The sequence below is a fragment of the Homo sapiens genome, chromosome 3 (assembly GCF_000001405.40).
Source record: "Homo sapiens chromosome 3, GRCh38.p14 Primary Assembly".
In the NCBI taxonomy this organism is placed as follows: domain Eukaryota; kingdom Metazoa; phylum Chordata; class Mammalia; order Primates; family Hominidae; genus Homo; species Homo sapiens.
Window position 1 is genome coordinate 13,582,298 of NC_000003.12, and position 20,515 is coordinate 13,602,812.

At 49.0% G+C, this 20,515-nt stretch overlaps 1 protein-coding gene across 3 annotated transcripts in view, besides 1 other annotated feature; it reads left to right on the forward strand.

Moving 5' to 3' along the window:
* The window catches only part of FBLN2 (fibulin 2), an 89,280-nt gene that overhangs the window by 33,173 nt on the left and 35,592 nt on the right, over positions 1-20,515 (forward strand). The window lies entirely within an intron of this gene.
* Positions 15,576-16,076: an enhancer, noted in NCBI's record as "H3K4me1 hESC enhancer chr3:13639373-13639873 (GRCh37/hg19 assembly coordinates)". NCBI's record gives its function as "activates a minimal SCP1, AML or CMV promoter by ChIP-STARR-seq in naive H9 embryonic stem cells {active_cell/tissue: H9 hESC(naive)}" and the evidence as "EXISTENCE:reporter gene assay evidence [ECO:0000049][PMID:30033119]".

Below are 20,515 nucleotides of genomic sequence, written 5' to 3' on the forward strand. Positions count from 1 at the left end.
TCCTGAGCCTTCCAGAATCCTGGGGGCCTCAGTGAGCTGGAGTTCAGGATCTGTGCTGCGAGTTTCCCTGCGGGCAATGTCGGCATCCTCTACCTGCCAGCACCTCCTCGAGGCTAGGCCAGGCTGTGGGCCTCTAGGACCTCTGGCCTGCAGCATCCGGGGCTTTGAGGTGAAGCTTCTGGTTGAGATCAGAATTGTGTGGGCTGGGGCTCTGGTGGGACCTCCACCCCCTTGTCCACTCCTCGGCCTCCATGCTGGGAAAGTGGGCTTGGGGCCAAGTTGCAGTGAGATTGAGCCTGCTTTGGCCCTCAGAGAGTGAATTCCTGCCTCTGCCGCTCGTGGCTGTGTGACCTCAGGCAAGCGACTCACCCTCTCTGAGCCTCAGTTTCTGCATCTGTACAATGGGGCGGTCCTGTTAGTCTCAGGATTACTGAGAGGAGCAGGCGGGCTAACGGCAGCCAGCACAGAGTGCTGCTCCGGGCCACGGGCTGCTTGCCTCATCCTGCCAGAGGTTCTGCAGGAACTGGGGTGGCGGGGGAGGGATGAGAAGAGGGCTTTGTGTTCTTGTTTCTTCAAACAGATGTAGATGTGTATCTTCTGGTGGCCAGAAGTTGTCCCCTCTGGCAAAAGAGCAGAGGAGCCAGGCCTGGCAGGGTTGGGCAGGGGCCGTTCCGCTGCTATGTTTGCCACTCCAGCTGCCTCCAGATGTGCAGCAGCGTGTTCCTCACTGGCTGTCTCCCTCCCATGCTGCACTCTTGTTTCGGCCCCTGCCAACTGCGTCAGCAAACGCGCGAGCTGCGAGACCCCTCCTTCAGCCATACTGCCTGGCTGCAAGGCTGGCTTCCCACAGACAAGGGGAGGGGCACCCTCCTCTACTGAGTCTGCATGCGGGGCCCTCTTTGCCACCCTCACAGGTCACCCTGCATCAGTGGAGCATTTATTATGTGCCAGGCACTGTGTTAATCACTGGACGCGTATCAGTCCATTATGTGTCGTGACCCCGTGAGGGGATGTCATCATTATGTCCATTTTGTAGACGAGGTGACTGAGGCCCAGGCAGGTTAAGTGAATTGTCCATGGTTCCTGAAACCAGTGAAGTAGACGTTTGCCAACCCCTGACTTGGCCCCCTGCACCGGGCACTTCCACCTCCTGCCTGCTGACTCCCTGAGTTTGCCTGGCTGCCCAGTGTGAGCAGGCATTTCCCTGTTGTGGGCAGACTGAGGCTTCAGGACTGTCTGGATGGCTGGCCCTCAAGGGGCAAAGCTGAGCCCAGGGCAAGCTGGCAGGCCTCAGGCTCTGCACTCGCCCCCCTGCCCCAACCCCTCAGGCCTCTCCCTGGTACCTTCCTGGTCAAGGTCTAGGCCGGTGGACCTGGTGGGACTGTGGTTCCAAGTATAGTCAAGGGCCACATAAGGACGTTTTGGTCAGTGATAGACCCCATATATAAAGGTGGGATTAGCAGGTAGGCAAGCCTGCCTGGCACAGAGGGCCCAGAACCTGGGGGTGGAGGAGTAGGGAGAGAGGGAGTGAGAGGCTTTCTCTCCTGCTTCCAGCCCCGTCCTCTAGCCTGCCCCCCTCACCTTTTGGGTGCCAGAGATTCAGCAGGAACCACAAAGGTGAAGACCCTTAGGGATGAGGGTCCCTGCTGTTAACTCCAGCGACTGTGGCCAGCTGGCCTTTAGAATGCATGCAATGGAGAAGCAGCACTAGAAGTCTGGGAGTGAAACAGCTTGTTGGAAAGTGGGGGCCGTGGGGACCAGAGACTGTACCTAGAACACAAGGGCAGTCGCTCCTGCTGTTGCCCTGGGGCCGTGGAGGCCTGGCATGGTCCAAGATTTTGGATTTTCTACAAGAAGCCTGGGATCTGGAACTTCATATGACAGCTCCCAATTTGTAAATATTAGCAATTCGTTCACATATTTTTAAAGCACCCACAAAGTACACTACAGGCACCTGCTTGCTGCCATAGCTTGGACTCTCCCTCTGCCACCCCTCCTGACACCACTAGGATGACACAGAGGTCCAGTGCTGGGTGAGGAGCTGGCTGAGAGCTCTGCAGGTGCAGAGGATGGGGGCCCAGGAGCCCTGACTCCAACCCAGGCTCTCTCTGCCCAGACCTCCCATCCCAGCTGAGTCAGAGCTGGTGGGATCAGTGTCATGGTGAGGCTACATGGAGGGCTGAGGGCAGGGACCTGCAGGTTACTGTGCAGTACCTGGACCAGCAACAGTGGGAGCTCCACCCCTGGCCTGCAGGGGAGACTGGTGAGAGCCGAGGCTCCAGGGAGTAGCCGTGGCCATAGGTAGAGGCAACTGTGCCTGTATGGGGACCCCAGGATGCCACCCTCCAGGCCAGCCTCCCTCAAGAAAGAGCAGGGCTGACGGGTGGAAGGTGGGTCTAGGGCAGATAGGGAGTGGGCAGTAGGCTTTGGGGAGGATGGCCGTGCGGGTATGGTGGTTGGGAATCAGGGACTGTCCGCAATGCCACCACACAGGCATGGGCGTGAGATGAGCAGCCTCAAGCTCATCTCTGTGTGCTCCTCACATGCTCACACGGGAGGAGTTAGAGTGAGCTCAGATGCCCAGGTAGAGATGCCATGTTGGCGGTGGGAACTTGAGCATGGAGCTCAGGGCACAGGTCTAAGCTAGAGGTGGAAGCTGATCAGAGAATGGCTGTGCTTCTGTCCCTTCCCCACCAAGCTGGCCCACCTGGCAGTTGGGGCTGGGTTGGTGGTGGGTGAGTGATGGAGGACGACCTCACAATTCCTCATCTGTCACCGTGTGGCCCCTGGAGCCTGGATGCAGGAGCAGGGAGGCCAAGGGTCTTGCCAGAGGTTGCTTGGCTGGTGGGGGCATGGCTGGGCTTTGAGTGGAGCTCTCTGGCTTCCTGGCTTTGTGCCTCACACCCCCCACCAGCCGTGGCCATCAGGATAGAAGTGTTTCCTGCTTGGCGTGAGGCTGGTGAGCGTGTTACCCTGACCTCTCCTAGGCACCTTTGATCAGTGCTGATTGCTTCACTTTGAGTGTGCAGAGTGGCCAGTTATTCTGCAGGAGCAACTAGACAGAGGAAGGATGTATTTTAGTGGGGGGTGTGCATGGGGGAATCAGATCAATCAGTGCCTGGTCAAGTTCTAGGAAGGCGGGCCTGGTGGTACAGTCAAGCGCTGCATAATGACATTTCCATCAATGATATACTCTATATGTGATGGTCCCATACGATTATGGTGAAGCTGAAGGAGCTGAAAAATGCCTTTTGCCTAGTGACAGCGTAGCCATTACTCGTGTTTGTGGTGATGCTGGTATAAGCAAACCTACCGCACTGCCAGTAATACAAAAGCCTAGCACATGGGCTGGGCGTGGTGGCTTATGCCTGTAATCCCAGCACTTTGGGAGGCCAAGGCAGGAGAATCGCTTGAACCCAGGAGGCGGAGGTTGCAATGAGCCAAGATCGCACCATTGCACTCCAGCCTGGGCAACAAGAGTGAAACTCTGTCTCAAAAAAGCAAAACAAAACAAAACAAAAAGCCTAGCACGTGTAGTTAGTTACAGTGCATCATACTTGATAATGAATGTCTGTGTTACCAGTTTATGTATTTACTATGTTTTTGTTGTTATTTTGGTAGGCCTAGGGCACTACTGTGCGCTAGTGTGTTATTTGGCTTTCTACTTATTTGAAAAATAGTTAACTATAAAACAGCCTCTGGCAGGTCCTTTGGGAGGTATCCAGGAGAAGGCATTGCTATCATAGGAGATGACAGCTCCCTGCATGTTACTGCCCCTTAAGACGTCCCAGCGGGATAAGATGTGGAGGTGGAAGGCGGTAATATTGATGATCCTGACCCTGTGTAGGCCTAGGCTAGTGTGTGTGTTTATGTCTTAGTTTCTTTTTTTCTTTTTTCTTTTTTTTGAGATGGATTCTCGCTCTGTCCCCTAGGCTGGAGTGCAGTGGCGTGATCTCAGCTCACTGCAACCTCTGCCTCCTGGGTTCAAGCTATTCTCCTGCTTCAGCCTCCTGAGTAGCTGGGATTACAGGTGCCCGCCACCACGCCAGGCTAATTTTTGTATTTTTAGTAGAGACGGGGTTACACCATGTTGGTCAGGCTGGTCGTGAACTCCTGACCTCGTGATCCGCCTGCCTAGGCCTCTCAAAGGGTTGGGATTACAGGCATGAGCCACCACGCCTGGCGTATGTCTTAGTTGTTTTTTTTTTTTTTTTTATTGAAATGGAGTCTTGCTCTGTCACCCAGGCTGGAGTGCAGTGGCGTGATCTTGGCTCACTGCAACCTCCACCCCTGGGGTTCAAGCAATTCTCTTGCCTCAGCCTCCTGAGTAGCTGGGACTACAGGCGCATGGTGCCATGCCCAGCTAATTTTTTTTTTTTTTTTTTGTATTTTAGTAGAGACGGATTTTACCATGTTGCCCAGGCTGGTTGCTAACTCCTGAGCTCAGGCAATCCGCCTGTCTCAGCCTCCCAAAGTGCTGGGATTATGGGATGGAGCCACCTCACCCGGCCTATGTCTTAGTTTTTAAGAAAAAAGATTTAAAAGTTAAAAAAAAAAAATTGAAAATAGGCTGGGTGCGGTGGCTTATGCCTGTAATCCCAGCACTTTGGGAGGCTGAGGGCGGATCACCTGAGGTCAGGAGTTTGAGACCAGCTTGGCCCACATGGTAAAACCCCATCTCTACTAAAAATACAAAAATTAGCCGGTCACAGTGGCGCAGGGCTGTAATCCTAGCTACTCAGGAGGCTGAGGTAGGAGAATCGCTTGAGCCCGAGAGGCGGAGTTTGTAGTGAGCCCAGATTGGGCCACTGCATTCCAGCCGGGGTGACACAGCGAGACTCCGTCTCAAAAAAAAAAAAAAAAATAAATAAATAATTAAAAAAATAATAAAAACACATATAGAGTAAGGATATAAAGAAATATTTTTCTATAGCTGTACAATGAGGGCATTTATGTTTTAAGGTAAGCGTTATTACAAAAGGGTAAAAAATTAAAATTTATAAAGTAAAAACATTACAGTAAGCTAAGAGGAATTTATTATTGAAGAAAGAAAAATATTTTAAACTAAATTTAGTGTAGCTGAAGTGTCCAGTGTTTCTAAAATCTGCAGTAGTGCACAGTAGTGCCCTAGGTCTTCAAATGCACTCACCACTCACTCATTGAGTCACCCACGGCAGCATCCAGTCTGCAAGCTCCATGCATGGTAAGGGCCCTGTAAACCAAAAATAAAATTCTAAGGCCCCCCGCCACCAACCATCTAACTGGACTTCCTTCTCAGCAGGCGCTCTTAAAATTTAACTTGAAAGACTGGTTCAGGCCATGAAGGGAAGTGGGGGTCAGAGAGGCCTCATTATATCTCTCACATTAACTTCAGCACAGACTTTAAGTCTGATAAGAAACATTTTACAGCCTAGCTAAAAGCTTCATCTGCATGATAAAACTACACCATGCACAACCTCTTATCCCAACCCAAACATCATTCCTTTCTATTGATCCCAGGTCTTTAGACAAACTCAACCAATTGTCAACCACAAAATGTTTAAATTTACCTGTGGCCTGGAGGCACCCCCCAATCTTGCTTTGAGTTGTCCTGCCTTTCTGGACCAAACTAATGTGTTTCTTAAATGTGCTTGATTGATGTCTCCTGCCTCCCTAAAATGTACAAAACCAAGCTGCACTCCAACCACCTTGGGCACAAGTGGTCAGGACTTCCTGAGGTTGTGTCTTGGGCATGTATCCTCAACCTTGGCAAAATACTTTCTGAATTAACTGAGACCTGTCTCAGATTTTCTGGGCCTGCAGGCCCTATACAGGCGAACCACTTTTTATCTTTTATATCATACTCTTACTGTGCCTTTTCTGTGTCTAGCTTTGTTTAGATTCACAAATACTTACCATTGTGTTCCAGTTGCCTGTAGTACTCAGTACAGTCATGTTCTGGACAGGTGTGTCGCCTAGGAGCAAGGCTATATCATGCAGCCCAGGTGTGTAGTAGTCTATGACACTTAGGTGTGGGTAAGGACACTCTTATGTCCTCACACGATGACGACACCACCTAACCACGCATTTCTCAGAACGTGACCCCTTCGTTAAGTGACGCATGATTGTGTGGGGTGAAGGGAAATGGAAAGCTGCCAGGCGGAGGCACGGGGCGTTTGGTTCTGGAAGGGCCCCAGCCTGGCCCTGTGGCTTCTCATTGGGAACCCTGAGCTCCAGGTCCCAGACCACCTTGGCTTTGCTCTGGCAGAGCACGGCTGGTGGCTGCTCCCAGGGTACCTGCTGCCTCTTCTCCAGGCAGGACTTCTGAGTCAACGCCTCCCCGGCCAGCACGGATCACCCGAGGCTTTGCAGAAGACCACGCTGGACAGTGCTGGTGCCCCACTGCCTGTTTACTTCTAAGAGAAAAAAAGATCCAGTTTATATTATGTGATATTTTTACTTTGATTTTTTATCAATCATTATTTATGTTTCTAAAAAGGTATGTTTACGTTTCTCATAGTAAATACTGGTGTGGGAACACCAAAATTGCTATGTAGTTAAATATCTCTTATTAAACTGTACGTATGATGGGCTGGAAATTAAGCGAGAAAGAAAAAGCAACAGAATTAAATCATTTATAAGATTCATCTATAAGTAACACAAAACATCATTCTAAGAATCAGAATTACATCAAACTTCAGTTTGAGCAGAAGTATAGTCTCTTAGGTAATAGCAGTTCCTTAAATAATAATGAAAGAGAGAATTCATAGTTCTTTCTGAGAAGGGACAGTGCACACTTTTAGTGCCTTGCAAGTTCCACACATTCTTTTTAAACAGAGTTAAACTTGTCAAGAATTTCTGTGCTTCTCCTGAATCAGGGCAGGCCAGAGTTGTGCAAGATACTTTTCTCTCTTTTGCATAGAGTTGGCCCCTAGACATCGCAACAAAAATAACCCATGAAAATGCGGATGACAGTCGCACACATCACTGGCTCCCTGGAAGGCTGTGGAAGGGTGAGGCTTGTCCATGGGTCCTCTGACTGCGAACATACCACTTTCCAGAGCTTTCTAAGGAGCAGCTGGAAGTCAAATACTATGGGGTCTCACAGCCCCTCCCACCCATGTTGTTGAAGCCCACCATCAAGCCCCCTTTGGTAACTGTGACTCTCCCAGCCACAGCTCACTAACATCCCAGGGTTCCACCTGGAACCCCAGTCCACACTAAGCAGCTGGGACAGACTTTCAGTGGGGCTATTTGAGGGGGAAGGGGGCTCAGTGAAGAAGGGCCTCAGCCTCATCATTGTCCAGTGCTCTCTCTCATTTGGGACACACACACACATGGATATTTCAGTCTTGACACTGTATCTTGCAACTCTAAAAAATAGCGATATTCTCTAATATTATCACATACCATGACCCTATACTTCACACAATTACCAATTCCCTAATGCCTTCTAATACTCCAACTATATTAATCTCTCTCTTCTTCTTCCCAAAGGGTACCGTATAGCTCGTTTTATAAAAGCAATGTCTAATCAAGGATGATTAGATATTTGGTTTATTTTTGGTTGTTAATGTCTCCTGAGTTTCCTTCTTTCTTAAAGTTTCTATTGAAGCATAATGTACATGCTCTTGAGTGTCTTTTAATCCAGATTAATATAACAGTACTCGTCTTAGAGCTTTTTATTAGAGTAAAATGTATAGACAGTAAAGCAACAAGCCTTAATAGAACAGCCCAGCAAGTTTCTTCTTATGTGTAAACCCAGGCATTCCACAGTCAAGATAGAAAGCATTTCAAGCACCCCAGAGTTTTCCTGGTGCCCTTTCTCAGTTCTTAACCCCATCGCTGCTGGAAACCATTATTTTGACTTTTATCACCATCTATTACTCTTGCCAATTATTTTTTATTTTTTTGTAGAGATGGGGTCTACCTATGTTGCCCAGCTGGGTCTCAAACTCCTGGCCTCAAGCAATCCTCCTGCCTCGCCCTCCCAAAGTGCTGGGATTATAGGCAGGAGCCACCATGCCTGGCCTAACTCTTGCCTAGTCTTTAATTTATTTATTTATCGAGACAGAGTCTCACTCTGTTGCCCAGACTGGAGTGCAGAGGTGCCATCTTGGCTCACTGCAACCTCCGCTTCCCAGGTTCAAGTGATTCTCATGCCTCAGCCTCCCAAGTAGCTGGGACTACAGGTGCCCACCACGATGCCTGGCTAATTTTTGTATTTTTAGTAGAGACGGGGTTTTACCATGTTGGCCAGGCTGGTCTTGAACTCCTGACCTCAAATGATCTACCTGCCTCAGCCTCCCAAAATGCTGGGATTACAGGCGTGAGCCACCATGCCCAGCCCTGTTTTGTTTTCTGTTCTTGAATTTATTTTGAATGATGGGAACATACAGCGTGATCTTGCTTGTGTTTGGCTTCTTTAGCTCAAGGTAAGGTATTTGAGACTCATGCATATTGGTGCATATAGCAGTAGTTCATTTTTAGAAAATTACTCCTTATGATTCCATTGTAGGAATAAATCATAGTTTTAAAAATCAGTTTTAGTGTCGATGGACATTTGGGTTCCATGCTGCACACTGTTGCTGTGAGCATTCTCGTCTGCGTCTTTGGAAGACTTAGGCATCCATGTCTGTTGGATACATACTGAGGACTGGAGTTGCTGCATCAAAGGTTATGTTTAATGTTAGCAGATACTGCCAAATGGTTTTCCAAAGTACATTGCCAATTTGCATCCCTACCAGCCATGCATGAGAGTTCCATTTGCTCCACATTTCTGCCAACTCTGGCGGTTGCCATTCTTTGTAATTTTGGCCAGTCTGGAGGATGTGCAGTAATAGCTCACTGTGGCCTTTATTTGCCTTCTCTTACAAGTTATGATGTTGTCTACATTTTCATATTACTCTTGGCTATTTTGTTGTCATTTGCCTATTTTAAAATTAAGTTTCTTTGTCTTATTGATTCATAGGGGTTTTAAAAATATGTTCTGGTTATGAGTCTCTTGTTGGATTCCACATAGGTGATCTCATTCTATGACTTGCCTTTTTACTCTCTTAATAAAACTTTCTGATGAATTCATTGCAAATGTTGTCATCTGAGGAACACAAGTTCCAAATTGGAATGAAGTATCATCTATTGATCTATATATTTATGTTAGTACATTTTGTATTAACAAATGGCCCCTAGACATCTCACATGGGGTTTCACCATGTTGGCCAGGCTGCCCTTGAACTCCTGACCTCAAGTGATCCACCTACCTCAGCCTCCCAACGTGCTGGGGTTACAGGCGTGAGCCACCACACCCGGCCAATGTTTTCTGGCCTCTTTTTTCTGTTCCATTATCTGTCTTTGCACCATTACCACTCCGTCTTGATTACTGTAGCCTTGTAGTAATTTTTAGTATCTGCTAGTGAGAGTTTTCCAGCATTGTTCTTCTTTTTCAAGATTTTGTGTCCTGTTTAAGAAATTGATGTCTCTCCCAAGGTCATAAAGATATTTTTCTGTAATATCCTAGATGTTTTATTGTTTTACCTTACACATTTAGCTCCTTAGTGCATCTGGAACTTGTTTCTGTGTATGGTGTGAGTAGGAATCAAAATTCAGTTTTTTACTGATAGACATTCAGCTGGCCCAGCACCATGTGTTGAAAAGGCCATCTTTCCCCTACTGCGTTACATTGTTAGCTTCTCCAGGAATCCAGTGGCTGCATCTGTATGGTCTGTTTCTGGCCTCTCTTTTCTTTTTTTTTTTTTTTTTTTATTTTGAGCCAGAGTCTCACTCTTGCCCAGGCTGGAGTGCAGTGGTGCAATCTCAGCTCACTGCAACCTCCACCTCCTGTGTTCAAGCGATCCTCCTTCTGCCTCAGCCTCCCGAGTAGCTGGGATTACAGGTGCCTGCCACCACACCCATCTAATTTTTGTTTATTTAATAGAGACAGGGTTTCACCATGTTGGCCAGGCTGCTCTCGAACTCCTGACCTCAAGCAATCCACCCACCTCAGCCTCCCAATGTGCTGAGATTACAGGCGTGAGCCACCACACCCGGCCAATGTTTTCTGGCCTCTCTTTTCTGTTCCATTATCTATCTTTGCACCATTACCACTCTGTCTTGATTACTGTAGCCTTGTAGTAATTTTTAATATCTGCTAGTGAGAGTTTTCCAGCGTTGTTCTTCTTTTTCAAGATTGTTTCAGCTGTTCTGGGTCCTTTGCATTTCCATTGAAATTTGGAATTAGCCCTTTTAAAAGGCTGCTAGCATCTCAATTGGTATTGTATTGAATCTGTAGCTCAGATTTGACAGAATTGACATCTCAATATTAAGTTTCCAGCCCATGAACATGATATATCCCCCTATTTATTCAGGTTGTTTTTATTTTCTTTTGGGAGTGTTTTGTCATTTTTAGTGTAGAGTTCTTGTATATCTTTAATTAGATGTATTCTTAGCTAATTGATGTTTTTAATACTATTGCAAATTGTATTGATTTTAACCCTTTATTTTCTAAGTATTTCTGGCTTATATTAGTTTGCTTTGGCAACAGTTTATTTAGCTCATTCTGTGAGTTGGGAATTTGGGCTGGGCTCTGCTGATGGGGGCCAGGTGTGGCTGAGCTCGCTCAGGTGTTTGTGGTCAGCTGGGAGCTCAGCTGGGAGATAGCTGGTCTGGGATGGCCTCTGCTGGGATGGTTGTCTATGCTCTCTCATCCTCCATCAGCCCAGCCCGGACTACAGAGTCCCAGGAGAGACAGCAGAAGCCACAAGGCCCCTTTGGATTTCACATGTGCCATATCCTGTTGTCCAGGGCAACATAGTCACGAGGTCAGCCCAGATTCAACAGGTGGGGAAATAGATGCCACTTCTCAATGGGAGGAACTGCAAAGCATTGAGGTGATTTCTGCAGTCATCACAGATAGGATGGCAATATTCACACTGAATTTAGCAGCCACCTCTGGAGGGTTGGATCTTCATTGGAGTCCTGCACATGTTAACTACCCGGGCATGGGTTAAAGTTAATCTGCACACTCACATTGTGATATAAACATAAGGAAATGTTTTCAAGTTTGTCTCTGGTAGACAACAGCCTGGGCTTTGGGGACAGGCAGAGCTGCATTCCAATCTCAGTACAGTCACTTTCTTCACCTTTAAGGGGAAGGTAATTGGCTGGGCGCAGTGGCTCATACCTGTAATCCCAGCACTTTAGGAGGCTGAGGTGGGTGGATCACGAGGTCAGGAGTTCAAGGCCAGCTTGGCCAGCATGGTGAAACCCCGTCTCTACTAAAAATACAAAAATTAGCCGGGCGTGGTGGTGTGCCCCTGTAGTCCCAGCTACTCGGGAGGCTGAGGCGGGAGAATTGCTTGAACCTGAGAGGCAGAGGTTACAGTGAGCTGAGATCGCGCCACTGCATTCCAGCCTGGGCGACAGAGTGAGACTCTATCTCAAAAAAAAAAAAAAAAAAAGTGGAAGATAATTGCCCCTAGCCTGCAGGGTTGTGGGGAGAATTAAGTGGGTGACATATTCAGAAGTCCCCAGCACGGGCGGCTGAATTAAGTGGGTGACATATTCAGAAGTCCCCAGCGTGGGCGGCTGTAACCATTAGCAAGTATGAATTCTTCTTCTCTCAGCCCTGGAAGCAGCCGGTCTTAAGCCAGTGTACCTCGTCTTCCTCTGCCCCTGACACTGCAAGCTTTTATAACACTCATTTTACCTCCACTTCAGAGTTGAGCTGAGTTACAGTTGACAAGCTGGTATCTTGTAAAATGTATAGACTTTTAAGTGAACATTTTCCCAGTTCTTTTCTGTGGTTGTCTCTTTAGATTTTGGAGCCATTATATTTTCTTCCCAGGCCCAGGAGTCAAGCATTTTTTCTGGAGACTTTTGGAAAGCTCGTAGACCCCAGTGGGTGGGTAGGATACTGAGGGTGCGGTTAAACCCACCCTCCTTGACGTTTGGGGGCTGCTTGTTGAAACATGGGCAGAGTTCCGTCGCTCAGAGACCCACTTGCCCGGGCTTGATGGGCTGGGGGTGGTGCTGGGCAGGGCAGAGGTCCCTGCTATGATGGGCTTCTCTCTGGATGGAGCAGAGGTCCCTGCTGTGATGGGCTTCTTTCTGGGCGGGGCAGAGGTCCCTGCTGTGATGGGCTTCTCTCTGTGCTCAGACCCTGTCTCTCACCATTCCTGGGCTCAGGGGACCTGCAGCTTGGGCAGCTTTGATTCCTGTCCTGGGGATTGGGGATAACCTCACAAAATAAGCCTGTCGTTTAAACCCTGTATGTTTAAACCCTTGGGCACATCACTCTGCCTCCCTGGGTCTTGGTTTTCCCAGCTGGGTGGTGGCTGTTACTAAAGTGATCCTGGCTCCGTGGGCTCTGGAGGGAGGGGGAGCCCTAGCCCCCGACCTGGGCCCAGGAAACAGCTTTTGCCAGGCTTCTCAAGCTGGCAGAGCTGAATGGTCAAGCTGGCTTTCAGGTGACACTCAGCTGGGGACACAGAGGGACCCCAGAGCCCGGGCTCCCAGGTCCAGACCCTATGCAGGATGGTGCACAGCTGAGAGCCTGCTGTGAGAGTGGGCTTGGGGAAGGGGCCAGAGGGGTGGCAGGGAGGGCCTTGCTTCCCTTGGAAGAACTGATGAAGATGGGGACTTGAACTTCCGTTCCCTTCTTTCCTTTCTTTGATGCTTGGCTCAGGAGCCTGCACTCTGGAGCCATGCAGCTGGGGTGAGATCCTGCGGCTGCCCCGGCTGGGTGTGTGGTCTGGGGCAAGCTGTGCCTTCTCTTTCCACAGCTGTCTGCTGGTCTGCAAAATGGGGGCTGAGGCTGGGACGTTCCTTCTAGAGCCAGAGGGAAGATACCGTGGGTGCAGGGTGGGGTCTAGCAGGCAGCTCTGCCAAGCCTGAGATCCGGCCGGTTGGCTGGACTGGCCAGGCTGGGGTGTCCAGACAGTAAACACCCACAGAGGAGAAGGTGATGTGAGGGCCACAGAAAGCAGTGGGGATGCAGAAGCCGGTGCTGAGGGGGCTGGCTGGGGCTGCTCTGCCTGCTGAGGAAGGCATCCCTCAGGCTGAGTTGGGTGAGCTCAGGCAGAGCCCGCTGCCTGGCCGCTCCTGCTGTTTCTTAGCCATCCCCTGCTGGTTTCTGTGATCCCGGGGAGGAAGGCAGACCCAGGTTCAGAAACCCTTTCTGTCTGTCCATTTTACAGTCCTCATAAAAAAAAACTCAAGGCGCCTCCACAGACCTTCAGGTAACCCTCCCACCCTGTCCCTCCACACCCCCAGGAGAACACCAAGGCTGGCGGGAACATCAGGGCTGCAGCCTTCTGTGTGCTGTTTGCTCAGGCCCCACAAATATCCTGTCCAAACAGGGGCCTGGCGGAGATGGCCCTGTCACCACCCTCCTGCCAGGTGTGGAAACTTCTCTGCAGCATTTTCAAAGCCGGAATTCTTTAAGGCTTTAATGTCAAGGGACTGGGACTGGCTAGAGCGGTCATGACCTCTGCACTGGATTGTTCAGGGAACCCATTGTCCTATGATCAAAGGAGCTTAGAATCCTCAGAAAATGGGTAATACCTGCATAAGATAAGAAACAAATACAAATTACAAAAGGGGTAAACAGTCAGTTTCCTTCCTCCCTCCCCAGGGCTGAGTCCTTCCCCAAGATAGCCACAGTTACCAGTTTCTTGGGTATCCTTCCAGAAATAATCCATGCATATCCATGTATCTTTTTAGGAAGACAAATGGTAGCTTATTAGAGATACTATTCAGGATTGACCCTTAAAAAATTCTTCATAGTACATGTGGAAATTCTTTCATGTAAGTGCATGCAGATCTAACGCTTTTTAACAGCTGCATACGATTAGATGGATATAGCATCAGTTTTGCTTTGTTTTGAGGTAAGGTCTTGCTCTGTCTCCAGGCTGGAGGGCAGTGGCGTGATCACTGCTCCCTGCAGCCTAGACCTCCTGGGCTCAAGGCATCCTCCTGCCTCAGCCTCCCAAGTAGTGGGGACCACAGGTGCATGCCACCATGCCTGGCTAATTTTTAAAATTTTGTTGGGAGATGGAGGCTCACTGTGTTACCTAGGCTGGTCAGCATCAGTTATTTAATCACTGCCCTGCAGGTGGGATTTAGGTTGTTTCTGGATCTTTGCTGTCACAAATGCAGGTGCATCAGAATCTGTGATGCTCCTGTTTGTGTTCATGGGAGCATCTCATCTATCAGCAGATTAGATCCCTACAAGGAGAATTGCAGGGTCACAAATTTTTTACACTGCAATGCATTTTTATTATTTTTTAAATCACATAACATGACATTTTCCATTTTTAGTTGTGCTCTTCCAAGGCATAAATTACATCCACCTCGTTGTGCAGCTGTCACCACCATCCACCTCCAGAAATTTTTCATCTTCTCAAACTGAAACTCTGTCTCCATTAAACCCTAACTCCCTATATCCCCACTCCCAGCCCTTGGCACCCACCATTCCATTTTCTGTCTCTATGAATTGACTACTCTAAGGACCCCATACAAGTGGAATCATAGTCTTTATCCTTGTGTATCTGGCTTGTTTCACTTACCTTGATTTTATTTTTAAAATTTATTATTTAAATTTAAAAAATAAATTAGTTTTTTATTTATTATTTAAATTTAAAAAATAAATTTGTTTATTTATTTATTTATTTATTTTAGATAAGGTCTTGCTCTGTTGCCCAGGCTGAAGTGCGGTGGCACGATCATAGCTCAATGCAGCCTTGACCTCCTGGGCTTAAGTGATCCTCCTCCCTTAGCCTCCCAAGTAGCTGGGACTATAGGCACACACCATCATGCCTGGCTAATTTTTAAATTTTTTGTAGAGATGGAGTCTGGCTGTGTTTCCCAGGCTGGTCTTGAACTCCTGGCCTCAAGCAACCCTCCTGCTTCAGCCTCCCAAAATGCTGGTATTATAGGTGTGAGCCACTACATCTGGCCTGGATCTATTTTTAAAAGACTCTTTTAGTCTTTAGTCTTAGAGTTTTCTGATCATACTACCTTTTTCAGTACTGTCTTTGTTTGGGAGGAGAGCAGTTCAGGAAGTGTCCACATGGGCAGCAGGACAGAAACCATAGGGTCGCCCCTGACACCCCACTCCAGTTACCACCGTCCTGATGGCAGTCAGCAAGAGTTCCCTCCTTTTCCTTATAATTTTACCCCCGAACAATCTTGCTTCATTCTTCTCTGTTGTTGAGTCTCACATGAAAGGCTGTGTGCAGTATTCCCCTGTGACCTGCCTCTTTCCCTGGTGCAGTGTTGGTGTGCTCCTTGTGGGTTATTGCACGTGGTGGCAGTGAGGTGGCTGGCATCATGTGGTCACACTGCAGCCTATGGACCCTTTCTCTCATTTGTGGGCACTTGGAAACCACCTGGAGACCACCAGAATACTCAGGGTCGTGGGTGTGGCGCCTTCTGCTTTACCAGGGGACAGTGAGTGGTTTTCCAGAGTGGACCTGCTCTGTGCCACTTGGCGTGGGAACAGCAGGGTTCCTGCTGGGCAAGGGTTGTGCTCACCCTGCTGCCAGGCCCGGAGCCCTGATGCTGTGAAGTCAACCGTGGCAGTGTGTTCTGAAGCTGGGATGTTGCTGGGCCATGTCACTGCCAACCCCAGGAGGCCAGAGAGAATCTCTGAGTTGAGGCTGGGCTGTCAGAGTGGGAGAGCACCTGCGTCTCTCTTTCCACAGTGCTGCTGAGAACCGGCAGGTGGGGAAGGCATTGCTCCCCCTCGGCCTGAGCTCCTGCAAAGCAGCAAAGTGGACAGAAATGGAGAATTCTCGAAAAGCCAGAGGAAAGAGGAGGCAGGGTAGGCGTGGCTGAAGGCTGCACCAGCTTCTACTGCTGAAGGGATGGTTGCTAATCCTTCCATGGATTTGTCTGCCCCTTTGTTAATTAACTTGGAAAGTAGTCACCAAGCGTCTTTTATGTGCCAGGAGACAGGAGGCTGTGTTTACTGAGTACCAGCTATTTGCCATGCAATGAGTCTTACGTTCCCACTTGTGAAATTTGGGTGGGGAGAGTTACTTGCCCATTTTACAAGCAAGGAAATGGAGGCTCAGAAGCCGAGTGACTCGCCCAAGTGCCCCAGCCAGTGAGTGGTAGCCCAACCACACACCTGTGCTTCCAGTGGTGGAAGGACATGCCTGTGCTCATCTTGTGACCCTGGTAGCATCTGCTACATAGAAGTGGTGTAAGGGGAGGTGGCCAGTAAGGATTTGCATTCTTCCTTGTCATTTCCCTAAGGCTGTGCCCCTGGGCTCCCTCTCTTAAACTCTTAGAACCTCTTTTTACGCCTCTGGGGCAGGGAGATCATCCCACCGACCTCTTGTTGTTGATGTGAGCTTTACATGAGATGATATACACCAAGAGCCTGAAGTATTTCACCCAGCCCCAGATTTTACCAGGGACCTGGTCTGTGCTGTGTGCTGGGCACTGGAGACCCTGAAATGATTAGGCTGATTCTTGGCCCATGAGACCCTCCCAATCTGGTGATTGGGACAGCCTGCCACCCGACAGGGACATCATGGTCGAAGGACATGAGTGAAGTCAGAGGAGGGAGCTGCTTTTCCTGGGTGCTAGACAGAGCCTGCTGGACGCACAGACAGGCAGGGAGTCACATTTGGACTGGCTCATGAGGGATGGGTAGTTGGATACTCGCCAGTTGGCCAAGGTAGAAGAAGGGCATCCTAGCATGGAACAGCGTGTGCAAAGGCGTAGAACAAGAGAAGGTGTATGTGGCTGGGAGCTGAGTCTGGGCTGTGCTGTGAAGGCCCTGAGTCTCACTCCAGAGAGAGGCACTTTATCCTGTGGGGCAGTGGCTTTTCTGTGGGATCTGTGGAGCCCCAAGGCTCCCCAAGATGACTCAGGGATGTGGAAGGCCAGGGCATTGTGAGGACGACCAGGTAAGATGATGTGATGAGGGTTGAGTAGGAGTTAGTTTAGATATGGAAGTTAGGGAGACCCTCTCTGAGGAGGAGAGACCCCCAGAAAGAGAAGGAGCCTGTCCCATAGAGAGTGGGGGCAGCAGATGGCACAGGGAGAGGTGGAAGATTCCAGGCAGGCAGCATGGCAAATGCCAAGGCCTTGGGGCAGGACTGAGTCTGAGGAGCTCCTGAGTAGAGAGAGTGAGTGGGAGAGTGAGTTAGAGAAAGGAGGTCAGGAGGGGAAGTGGGCAGGACCCCACCGTGTAGGACTTTGTAAGGAAAGTGGAGACCACGGGGGGTCATAGGCGCAGGAGTGATCCAATCTGATTTGTATTTGTGGACAGTCATTCTATAGCCCTGTGGGTGATGGGCTGGAGGGTGACAGAAGTGGAAGCAAGGAGGGCAGGAGGGGGTGGTGGAGGAGGAGGTGGCTGGTGGACTGAGATGCCTTTGGAGGTGGCCCTGTGAGTGATAGACTGGAGGGAGGCGGGGGATGAGGGATTGGCCTGGGAGCGTCCTGAGGATGGTAGGGCCTTTGTTGACACAGGAAGACCCAGGGAGGGGGTGGCTTGGGAAAATCCGGAGCTGAGCAAATTCCAGCTGGGGAAGTGCCAGGGAGACATCTGGGGTGGTTTCTTGGCCAGCTGTGGGCATGTGCATGTGACATGGGGGGCGGGGGCAAGAGGAAGGTGGCATTGGAAGCTTAGAGATGAGATCAGCCAGGCCAGCGTGTGTTGGAGAAGAGAAGAAGCCCCAGGGTTGAGACTCCAAAAGTCTGGTGCTCAGGAAGTTAAAAAACACGACAGAGAGAGAGAGAGAGAGAGAGAGAGAGCGAGAGAGAGAGAGAGCGATAGAGAGAGAGAGAGAGCGCCAGGCAGGGGCTGGGGACCTGTGAGAGGTGGTCTCAGAAGGAGACCTAGAGGAGAGGAGGTGACTGCTGGGCGGAGCCTTGGAGAATCAGGGTGGAGGGCGGGGGCCTCTGGACATGAGATGAGGGTACTCACTCATCGTGCTGGGCTTTGCCTGGCTCTGCCTCCCACATTTTGGATGGCACCTGGCAATGCTACTCATGGCACCTGCACAATTTCCCCTCCTGCTGCAACTGGGTGGCCCTCCCAGCATAAGGGTCACAGCTCCTGAGCTTTGTTTGAGAAGGAAGGTGGCCAGGAGAGAATGGGGGGAATCCTGGCACCTGATCAAGGAGGAGCAGGCAGAGAGCGCCATTCAACACCCACGAAAGCAGAGCCACCTCTCGAGCTGGTGATGGTTAGAGTCCCAGAGACGACCTTCAGGATCGGCTGCATTAGGTCACCTGTGCAACAGACATGGGGACGCTCAGGCCTGGAGAAGGGAGAGTAAGAGGGGAAATTGAAGCTTGCGACTTCTTTTTTAATTTTGTACACTTTTTTTTTTTTTTTTGAGACGGAGTCTTGCTCTTGTCACCCAGGCTGGAGTGCAGTGGCGCCATCTTGGCTCACTGCAACCTCCGCCTCACGGGTTCAAGTGATTCTCCTGCCTCAGCCTCCCAAGTAGCTGGGATTACAGGTGCCCACCACCATGCCCAGCTAATTTTTGTACTTTTAGTAGAGATGGGTTTTCGCCATGTTGGCCAGGTTGGTCTCAAACTCCTGACCTCAGGTGATCCGCCCACCTCGGCCTCCCAAAGTGCTGGGATTACAGGCGTGAGCCACTGCACCTGGCCATTTGTACACATTTATGGGGCAGGTACATGTGAAATTGTGACGTGTATGTGATTCACAGTGATCACATCAGGGTGTTGAGGGTGTCCATCACCTGACTACCGTGCATTTTTGTTAAGGGTAGTCACTCTGCTTGGGATTTCTAACTCCCCAGCTCATCTGTGAAATAGGAATGCTGACAGTTCTCACTCTTAGTAACTGTGAGGTTCCTGTGCTGGGACCCTGCCTGGCTGGTTGCTAGCGCTGCTATATTTCAGCTGTTACTGTTATCCTCATTGGGCATCCCACTGATGTCATCTGGCTAAGAGCCAGGGACCATAATCTCTGTAAGGCAATCTTGGAAGAGGTTTAGGGAGGAAGGATTCGGTCCTGTAGAAGAATGTTGTGAGTCTGAGCTGTGCAGAAGAGAGGATAAGCCGCCTGGGCAGAGTTGCCTCCTGTCACCAGAAGTATTCAAATAAGGAGAGTCTCCCACATGCCCAGAGTGTAACAAGAGGGGACGAGACATTGAATGGTGGCGTCACTCTCAGTGACCACAGAGACTGAAGTCAGGACTCTGGCATCCTGGGAGGTGGAGGCAGGACTCTGCCTGGCACCTTGTGCTCCTGAGTCCTGGGACAGACATGTCTGAGCCATGTTCCATTCAGATGGTGAGCACTGATCCCGGCCTCCGACACAGCACCTCTCAGTTGCCCAGGGTCTCCTAGATTCATTCAGCAAATACTCATTGAACACCCACCATGTGCCAGGGGGCTGAGATATGGCTATGAGGAAGATAGATAAGAGACCCTACCCTCTGGGAGCTGACATTGCAAAGGAGGAAACAGAGGACTGAGAAAGTAAACTCATCCACAAGAGGCTCTCACAGTGCTGACTGCTGTGAGAGGGTTATTTATTTGTTTCTTTGAGACAAGGTCTTTGTCACCCAAGTTGAAGTGCAGTGGCACAAGCATGGCTCACTGAAGCCTCCATCTCCTGGGCTCAAGCAATCCCTTCCCCTCAGGCTCCTGAATAGCTGGAAATGCAGGCATGTACCACCATGCCTGGTTAAATTTTTTCTTTTTAAGAGACAGTCACACTATGTTTCTCAGGCTGGTCTCAAACTACTGGCCTCAAGTGATCCTCCTGCTTCAGCCTCCCAGAGTTCTGGGATTACAGGCTATGGATTTTATTTCTGAAGAAGATTCTCTTTTTTCTAAAATTATCTCTGTAAATTTTATTCTAATCCTGCCTTTATAGATTTGGAAGTTACTTTCGTGTATGGTGTGATGTGGGTCCCAGCATCATAAATTCTTTCCCTGCAAAGTTTGAATGCCACCTTCATCATATATTCAATTCCCGTATGCACATAGGTCTGTTTCTGAAGTCTTTTCTCTTCCATTGAGCGCCTTGTCTTCTTGTTTTAATTATTAGAACTTTGAAGTGTATTCTGATACCGTTAGAGAAAGTCTACCTTCTCTGTTCTTATTTTTCAGAAATGTTCTCGGGTATTCTTAAGCATTTCGTTTTTTGGATGAATTTTAGAATTAACACGACAAATTCTGTGACAGTTACACTTTGCTTTGGTTGGAATCGCATTGAAGTTGTAGAGTAAGTAGAGGAGAATTGACATCTTTAAGGTACATATTAGATACATGGTATGTATTTTGAATAAAGTGTATGTTATACCCATTAGACAATCAAATTTTCGTCTTCATGTGAATCAAGCATGTTCACTGTAGATTTATTTCTAGGTTTGTTTCTCTTTTGAATGGGAATTTTTTCCTATTAACTTTTCTATTTAATTGTTATGGGGGTATAGGAAAGCCACTAATTTGAGTGTGTTGTTTTTGTTTTTGGCTATTGTATTATAGTCATTATTGTTAATTGTATTAATTCTAATACTTTGTGAGTTTTGAG